Source organism: Homo sapiens, chromosome 12 (genome assembly GCF_000001405.40).
Source record: "Homo sapiens chromosome 12, GRCh38.p14 Primary Assembly".
Lineage (NCBI taxonomy): Eukaryota > Metazoa > Chordata > Mammalia > Primates > Hominidae > Homo > Homo sapiens.
Genome location: NC_000012.12, coordinates 38377244 through 38386915, shown reverse-complemented (window position 1 = coordinate 38386915; position 9672 = coordinate 38377244). Strand labels below are relative to the sequence as shown.

Below are 9672 nucleotides of genomic sequence, written 5' to 3'. Positions count from 1 at the left end.
TCCTGCCTGAATTTTGGGCGCAGTGGTTTGCCCTGCCACCTCACTTCTCTTATGGATCTAAGCAGAGTTGATTTTTCAGTTTTTTTTTTTTCCAACTTTTTACTTGTTAAAACAGAGTGACAACTTTCAGTTCCTTTCAAATGGAAACAGAAACTGGAAGTCCCTTTGTTATTCTTTTTATTGCCCAATAACATCCCATGGTATAGACTTACCACATTTTATTTATCTATTTCTTTAATCAATTGATAGACATTTAGTTTTTTCACTTTTTTTGCATAATGCTGCTATGAATATTCATGTACAAGTTTTTGTGTGGACATAGGTTTTCATTTCTCTTGGATAGATACCGAGAGATGGAAATACTGAGTCATATGGTAATTCTATGTTTAACCTTTTGAGAAACTGTCAGATTGTTTTTTAAAGTAGTACCATTTTACATTCTTACTAGTAGTGTATAATGGTTCCAACGTCACTACATGCTTGCCAACTCCTATTATCTGTCTCTTGACTGAAGACATAGTAGTGTGAAGTAATATCTTGTAGTTTTTATTTACATTTTTCTGATGACTAATGGTGTTGACCATCTTTTCCTGTGTTCATTGGACACTGGCATACATTCTTTGGAGAAATTTCTATAAAGACCCTTTGCCCTTTTACAATTTGGCTTTTATGTCTTTTTCTTCTTAAGTTGTAAGCATTCCTTGTCAGAGATAGGATTTGCCAAAAATTTCTTTCATCTTGTGGATAGTCATTTGATTTTCTTGATGTTATCTTTTGTGCACAAAAATGTTAATTTTCATGGTGCCCAATTTATCTAATTTTTTTATTGTGTTGCTTTCACGTTTGGTGTCATATCTAAGGAAACATTGACTAACCCAAGTTCATGGAGATTTATACCTATTTTTTGTCTAATAGCTTAATAATTATAGCTCCTAAATTTTGGTCTTTGATTCATTTTGAATTAATTTTGTGTATGATATAAAGTATAATTCCATGCTGGGAGGCTTGAGGGATCATGGTGGACGAGAGGCAGGGCTAGACTGCAGCTCCAGACAGAGCAGCATGCATTTTGTTCTTGCATAATCCAGATCACCTGCAAGAACAAAACAGCAATCTTAAGAGGACCCATAAACCCTCTGAAGGAAGCAGACTGCTCCTCCAGGACCTGGGAGACATCTCAAATACTGTGAGTGCCCCAATTGCAAAAGTGGGAAAGGGAGACACTCCTGCACAAACACACACCCCCACTGCAGAACTTGAAGGTCTGCTTGTAGGAGAAATTCCCGACTTTACCTGGAGCTCAGTCAAGTTAGAGATCAAAGCCAAGCAAAATACAGGGTGGGGTGGAGGAGGCAGTGGAGAGGCCCTAGGATCTCACTGGGTCCCCAAGCAGCCCAATACTGCCTGGCATCACAGGGATCCCTCAGGAGGGTGGCCAGAGGAGCAGGGGATAAAACTCCACAGGGAGAAGGAATTCTCTAGCCGAACTTGGTAACAATTTGAATGGGGCAAGAAGCCTCCCGGCCAGAAGCTGGGGGAGGGCGTAAATCTGGTGTGCAGACTTCACAGGCAGGGGGAAGAACTAAAGCCCTTTTCTTTCGCAGCTGGGAAGTGCAAAGCCTCCGGCAAGTTTTCAAGCCCTTCTCACCCTCCACCTGGAAACGGAATTGGAACTGTTCGGGAGGCACGGTGGGAGTGAGACCAGCCCCTCAGTTTGCATGGGAGCTGGGTGAGGCCTGTGACTGCAGGCTTTCCCCTACTTCCCGGATAACCTGCATGACTCAGCAGAGGCAGACATAATCCTGCTAGGTACACAACTCCAGTGACCTGGGAATCTCACCCCCATTCCCCACAGCAACCACAGACTCTCCACCCAAGGAGAGTGTGAGCTCAGAAACCGCAGCCCCACCCCCACCTGATGGTCCTTCCCTATCCACCCTGGTAGCAGAAAACAAAGGGCATTTAATCTTGGGAGTTCTAGAGCCCCACCCACTGACAATCCCTCCCCACACCACTACAGCTGATACTTTCTGGAAAGCGCCACCTCCTGGCAGGAGGTCAACCAGCATAAAAATAAGGCATTCAAATAGGGAATGCTTCCAGCTTTTGCTCATTCAGTATGATATTGGCTGTGGGTTTCTCATAAATAGCTCTTATTATTGTGAGATACGTTCCATCAATACCTAGTTTATTGAGAGATTTTTAGCATGAAGGAGTGTTGCATTTTATCAAAGGCCTTTTCTGCATCTATTGAGATAGTCATGTGGTTTTGTCATTGGTTCTGTTTATGTGATGGATTATGTTTATTGATTTGCGTATGTTGAACGAGTCTTACATCCCAGGGATGAAGCTGACTTGATAATGTTGGATAAGCTTTTTGATGTGCTGCTGGATTAGGTTTGCCAGTATTTTATTGAGGATTTTTGCTTTGATGGTCATCAGGGATCTTGGCCTAAAATTTTCTTTTTTTGTTGTGTCTCTGCCAGGTTTTGGAATCAGGATGATGCTAGACTCATAAAATGAGTTAGTGAGGAGTCCCTCTTTTTCTATTGTTTGGAATAGTTTGAGAAGGAATAGTACCAGCTCCTCTTTGTACCTCTGGTAGAATTCAGCTGTGAATCTGTCTGGTCCTGGGGTTTTTTTGGTTGGTAGGCTATTATTTACTGCCTCAGTTTCAAAACTTTTTATTTGTCTATTCAGGGATTCGATTTCTTCGTGGTTTAGTCTTGTGGGGGGTGTATGTGTCCAGGAATTTATTCATTTCTTGTAGATTTCCTATTTATTTGCATAGAGGTGTTTTTAGCATTCTCTAATGCTAGTTTGTATTTCTGTGGGATCAGAGGTAATATCCCCTTTATCATTTTTTATGGTGTCTATTTGACTCTTCCTCTTTTCTTCTTTATTAGTCAGGCTAGTGGTCTATCTATTTTGTTAATCTTTTTAAAAAAACCAGCTCCTGGATTCATTGACTTTTTGAAGGGGTTTTTGTGTCTCTTTCAGTTCTACTCTGATCTTAGTTACTTCTTGTCTTCTGCTAGCTTTTGAAATTGTTCTTGCTTCTCTAGTTCTTTTAATTGTGATGATAAGTTGTTGATTTTAGATCTTTGCCACTTTCTGATGTGGGCATTTAGTGCTATAAATTTCCCTCTAAACACTGCTTTAGCTGTATCCCAGAGATTCTGGTATGTTATCTCTTTGTTTTCACTGGTTTCAAAAAACTTCATTATTTCTGCCTTCTCTCACCACTCCTATTCAACATAATATTGTATGTTCTGGCCAGAGCAACTAGGCAAGAGAAGGTACAAGGTGTGTTCAAATAGGAAGAGGAAAACTCAGATTATCTCTATTTGCAGATGACATGATCATAATTTAGAAAATCCCATCATCTCAGCCCCAAAACTCTTTAAGCTGATAATCAACTTCTGCAAAGTCTCAGGATACGAAATCAATGTGCAAAAATCACAAACATTTCTATAAACCAGTAATAGACAAGCAGAGAGCCAAGTCATGAGTGAAATCCCATTCACAATTGCTACAAAGAAAATAAAATACCTAGGAACACAACTTATAGGTGACATGAAGCACCACTTCAAGGAGAACTATAAACACCACTGCTCGAGGAAATAAGAGAGAACACAAACGAATAGAAAAACATTCCATGCTCATAGATAGGAAGAATCAATATTGTGAAAATGGCGATACTGCCCAAAGTAATTTATAGTTTTAATGCTATTCCCATCAAGCTACCACTGACTTTCTTCACAGAACTAGAAAAAACTACTTTAAATTTCATGTGGAACCAAAAAAGAGCCTGTACAGCCAAGACACTCCTAAGCAAAAAGAGCAATCTTGAGGCATCACACTACCTGACTTTAAACTATACTACAAGGCTACAGTAACCAAAAAAGCATGGTACTCGTAACAAAACAGACATATAGACCAATGGAACTGAACAGAGGCCTCAGAAATAACACCACACATCTACAATAATCTGATCTTCAAAAAATCTGACAAAAACAAGCAATGAGGAAAGGATTGCCTATTTAATAAATGGTGTTGGGAAAACTGGCTAGCCATATACAGAAAACAGAAACAGGATCCCTTCCTTAAACCTTATACAAAAATTAACTCAAGATGGATTAAAGACTTAAATGTAAAGCCTAGAACCATAAAAACCTTAGAAGAAAACTCAGGCAATACCATTCAGGACATAGGCATAGACAAAGGCTTCATAACTAAAAAACCAAAAGCAATTGCAACAAAAGCCAAAATTGACAAGTGGGATTTAATTAAACTATAGAGCTTCTTCTCAGCAAAATAAACTATCCTCAGAGTGAACAGGCAACCTACAGAATGGGAGAAAATTTTTGCAATCTATCCATCTGACAAAGGCCTAATATCCAGAGTCTACAAGGAACTTAAACAAATTTACATGAAAAAAAAACAACTCTATCAAAAAGTGGGCAAAGGATTTGAACAGACATTTCTCAAAAGAGAACATTAATGTGGTCAACAAACATATGAAAAAAAGCTCATCATCACTGGTCATTAGAGAAATGCAAGTCAAAACCACAATGAGATACCATCTCACACCCGTTAGAATGGTGATTATTAAAAAGTCAGGAAACAACAGATGCCTCGAGGATGGGGAGAAATAGGAATGCTTTTACATTGTTGGTGAGAGTGTAAATTAGTTCAACCATTGTGGAAGACAGTGTGGCAATTCCTCAAGTATCTAGAACCAGAAATACCATTAGACCCAAGAATCTGATTACTAGGTATATACCCAAAGGATTATAAGTCATTCTACTATAAAGACACATGCACACATATGTTTATTGCAGCACTATTCACAACAGCAAAGACTTGGAACTAACCCAAATGCCCATCAATGTAGACTAGATAAGGAAAATGTGGCACATATACACCATGGAATACTACGCAGCCATAAAAAAGGATTAGTTAATGTCCTTTACAGGGGCATACATGAAGCTGGAAACCATCATTCTCAGCAAACTAAGACTGGAACAGAAAACCAAACACTGCATGTTCTCACTCATAAGTGGGAGTTGAACAATGAGAACACATGGACACAGGGAGGGGAACATCACACACTGGGGCCTGTCGGGTGGTTGGGTGAAAGGGGAGGGAGAGCATTAGAACAAATACTTAATGCATGCAGGACTTAAAACCTAGATGATGGGTTGATAGGTGCAGCAAACCACTTTGGTATATGTATACCTATATTATAAACCTCCATGTTTAGCACATGTATACCAGAACTTAAAGTAATACGTTTTTTTAAAAAAACAGAGCAGTAAACCACCAAAGCTAAGGACTCTCATGCCATGGCATCCTCTGCCACCTCCACCAGAACCAGCACTGGTATCCATGGCTGAGAGACCTATAGACAGTTCACAATAGAGGACTCTGTGCAGACAAACCCCAGTACCAGCTCGGAGACAGGTAGACATGCTGGGTGGCTAGAACCAGAAGAGAGACAACAATCACTGCGGGTTGGCTTACCGGAAGCCACATCCACAGGAAAAGGGGGAGAGTTCTACATCAAGGGAACACCCCATGGGACAAAATATTCTGAACAACAGACTTCAGCCCTAGACCTTCCCCCTGACAGAGCCTACACAAATGAGAAGACACCAGAAAACTGACTCTGGTGATATCACGAAACAAGACTCTTCAACACCCCCAAAAAATCACACTGGTTCACCAGCAATGGATCCAAACCAAGAAGAAATCCTTAATTTACCTGAAAAATAATTCGGGAGGTTAGTTATTAAGCTAATCAGGGAGGCACCAGAGAAAGGTGAAGCCCAGTGCAAGGAAATCAGAAAACAATACAAGAAGTGAAGGGAGAAATATTCCAGTAAATAGATAGCTTAAAGAAAAAACAATAAAACATTCAGGAAACTTTGGACATACTTTTAGAGATGTGAAATGCTCTGGAAAGTCTCAGCAATAGAGTTGAAGAAGTAGAAGAAAGAAATTCAGAGCTCACACACGAGGTCTTTGAATTAACCAACTCCAGTAAAGACAAAGAAAAAAAGATAAGAAAATATGAACAAAGAATCCAAGAAGTCTGGGATTATGTTAAATGATAAAATCTAAGAATCATCGGTGTTCCTGAGGAAGAAGACAATTCTAAAAGCTTGGAAAACATATTAGGGGGAATAATCAAGAAAAACTTCCTCAGTCTTGCTAGAAACCTAGACACACAAATACAAGAAGCACAAAGAACACCTGGGAAATTAATCACAAAAAGATCTTCACCTAGGCACATTGTCATCAAGTTATCTAAAATTAAGACAATGGAAAGAATCTTAAGAGCTTTCAGACAGAAGCACTAAGTAACCTATAAAGGAAAACCTATCAGATTAATGGCAGATTTCTCAGCAGAAACCCTGCAAGTTAGAAGGGACTGGCACCCTATCTTTAGCCGCCTCAAACAAAACAATTATCAGCAAAGAATTTTGTATCCAGTGAAACTAAGCATCATATATGAAGGAAAGATACAGTCGTTTTCAGACAAACAGTTGCTGAGAGAATTTGCCATTACTAAGACACCACTACAAGAACTGCTAAAAGGAGCTCTAAATCTTGAAACAAATTCTGGAAACACATTAAAACAGTACCTCTTTAAAGCATAAATCACACAGAACCTATAAAACAAAAATACAAGTTAAAAAGCAAAAACAGAAAACAAACAAAAAAACCCCAAAGTACACAGGCAACAAAAAGCATGATGAATGGAATGGTATATCACATTTCAATGCTAACATTTAATGTAAATGGCCTAAATGCTGCATCTAAAAGATAGAGAACCGCAGAATGGATAAGAACTCACCAACCATTTGCTGCCTTTAAGAGACTCATCTAACATAATGACTCACATAAACTTAAAGCAAAAGGGTAGAAGGAGGCATTTCATGCAAATGGACACCAAAAGTGAGCAGAGGTAGCTATTCTTAGACAAAACAAACTTTAGAGCTATAGCAGTTAAAAGAGACAAAAAGGGACATTATGTAATGGTAAAAGGCCTTTTCCAACAGGAAAATATCACAATCCTAAATATATATGTACCCAACACTGGAGCTCCCAAATTTATAAAACAATTACTAATAGACATAAGAAATGAGATAGGCAGCAACACAATAATAGTTGGGGACTTCAATACTCCACTGACAGCACTAGACAGGTCATCAAGAAAGAAAGTCAACATAGAAACAGTGGCTTTAACTATACCTTGGAAGAAATGGACTTAAGGGACATACACAGAACAATTCATCCAACAACTGCAGAATATGCATTCAATTCAACAGCGCATGGAATTTCCCCCAAGATAGACCATGTGATAGGCCATAAAGTGAGCCTCAACAAATTTAAGAAAATTGAAATTATATAAAGCATTCTTTCAGACTACCTTGTGATAAAACTGGAAGTCAACTCCAAAAGGAACCTTCAAAACCATGCAAATACGTGGAAATTGAATAACCTGCTCCTGAATGAGTATTAGGTCAAAAATGAAATCAACATGGAAATTAAAAAATTCTTTGAGCTGAATGACAATAATGACACAACCTATCAAAACCACTGGGGTACAGCTAAGGCAGTTCTAAGAGGAAAGTTCATAGTGCTAAATGCCTACATCAAAAAGTTTGAAAGAGCACAGACAATCTAAGGTCACACCTCAAGGAACTAGAGAAACAAGAACAAACCAAACCAAGCCCAGCAGAAGAAGGGAAATAACCAAGATCAGAGCAGAACTAAATGAAATTAAAACAAATTAAAAAATACAAAAGATAAATGAAACAAAAAGCTGGTTCTTTGAAAAGAAAAGTAAAGTTGATAGAACATTAGCAAGAATAACCTAGAAAAGAAGAGAGAAAAGCCAAATAACCTCATTAAGAAACAAAATAGGAGATATTACAACTGATACCACTGAAATACAAAAGATTATTCAAGGCTACTATGAACACCTTTATGCAAATAAACTAGAAAACCTAGAAGAGATGGATAAATTCCTGGAAAAATACAATTCTCCTACCTTAAATCAAGAAGAATTAGATACCCAGAACAGACGAATAACAAGCAGAGAGATTGAAATGGTAATTAAAAAATTACAACAAGAAAAAGCCCAGGGCTAGATGGATTCACAGCAGAATTCTATCAGACATTCAAAGAAGAATTGGTATCAATCCTTTTGACACTATTCCACAAGAGAGAGAAAGAGGGAACTCTCTCTAATTCATTCGATAAAGCCTGCATCACCCTAATATCAAAATCAGGAAAGGACACAACCAAAAAGGAAAACCACAGACCAATATCCTTGATGAACATAGATGCTAAAATCCTTAACAAAATACTAGCTAACTGAATCCAGCAACATATCAAAAAGATAAGCCACCATGATCAACCAGAGATGCAGGGATGGTTTAACATACACAAGTCAATAAATGTGATACATCACACAAACAGAATTAAAAACAAAAATCACATGATCATCTCAATAGATGCAGAAAAAGCATTCAACAAAATGCAGTATTCCTTTATGATTAAAACTCTCAGCAAAACTGGCATATGAGGGACATACCCCAATGTAATTAAAGCCATCTATGACAAACCCACAGCCAACATAATACTAAATGGGGAAAAGCTGAAAGCATTCTCTCTGAGAACTAGAACAAGACAAGATGCCCACTCTCACCACTCTTCAACATAGTAACAGAAGTCCTAGCCAGAGCAGACAAGAGAAAGAAATAAAAGGCATCAAAATCGGTAAGCAGGAAGGCAAACTGTCACTGTTTGCTTACCGTATGATTGTTTACCTTGAAAACCCTAAGGACTCCTTCAATAAGCTCCTAGAACTGATAAAATAATTCAGCAAAGTTTCCGAATACAAGATTAATGTACACAAATCACTAGCTCTTCTATACACCAGCAGCAACCAAGCAGATAATCAAATCAAGAACTCAATCAGTTTTACAATAGCTGCCAATAAAAATAATAATAATAATAATAATAATAATAATAAAAATACTTAGAAATATACCTAACAAAGGAGGTGAAAGGCCTCCACAAGGAAAACTACAAAGCACTGCTAAAAGAAATCATAGATGACATAAGCAAATGAAAACACATCCCATGCTCATGGATGGGTAGACTCAATATTGTGAGAATAACCTTACTGCCAAAAGCAATCTACAAATCCAACACAATCCCCATAAGAATACCACCATCATTCTTCACAGAGTCAGAAAAAACAATTCTAAAATTCACATGGAACCAAAAAAAAAAAAAAAAAAGACCTGCAGAGCCAAAGCAAGACTAAGCAAAAAGAATAAATCTGGAGGCATTACACTACCTGATTTCAAAATATACTGTAAGGCCATAGTCACCAAAACAGCATGGTACTTGTATAAAAATAGGCACATAGACCAATGTAACAGAATAGCAAACCCAGAAATAAACCCAAACACTTACAGCCAGTTGATCTCCAACAAATCAAACACAAACATAAAGTGGGGAAAAGACACTCTTTTCAACAAATGGTGCTGGGATAATTGGCTATCGACATTTAGGAGAATGAAATTGGATCCTCATTTCTCACCTTATACAACAATCAACTCAAGATGGATTAAAGAATTAAACCTAAGT

The 9672-nt window shown here is 38.0% G+C and overlaps 2 annotated features.

The window, feature by feature from the left end:
* Window positions 1007–2206: an enhancer, noted in NCBI's record as "MED14-independent group 3 enhancer chr12:38778512-38779711 (GRCh37/hg19 assembly coordinates)". NCBI's record gives its function as "activates an origin of replication core promoter dependent on BRD2, BRD4, P300/CBP and CDK7 cofactors, and independent of MED14, by STARR-seq in HCT116 cells {active_cell/tissue: HCT116}" and the evidence as "EXISTENCE:reporter gene assay evidence [ECO:0000049][PMID:35650434]".
* Window positions 1614–2161: an enhancer, noted in NCBI's record as "H3K27ac-H3K4me1 hESC enhancer chr12:38778557-38779104 (GRCh37/hg19 assembly coordinates)". NCBI's record gives its function as "activates a minimal SCP1, AML or CMV promoter by ChIP-STARR-seq in primed H9 embryonic stem cells {active_cell/tissue: H9 hESC(primed)}" and the evidence as "EXISTENCE:reporter gene assay evidence [ECO:0000049][PMID:30033119]".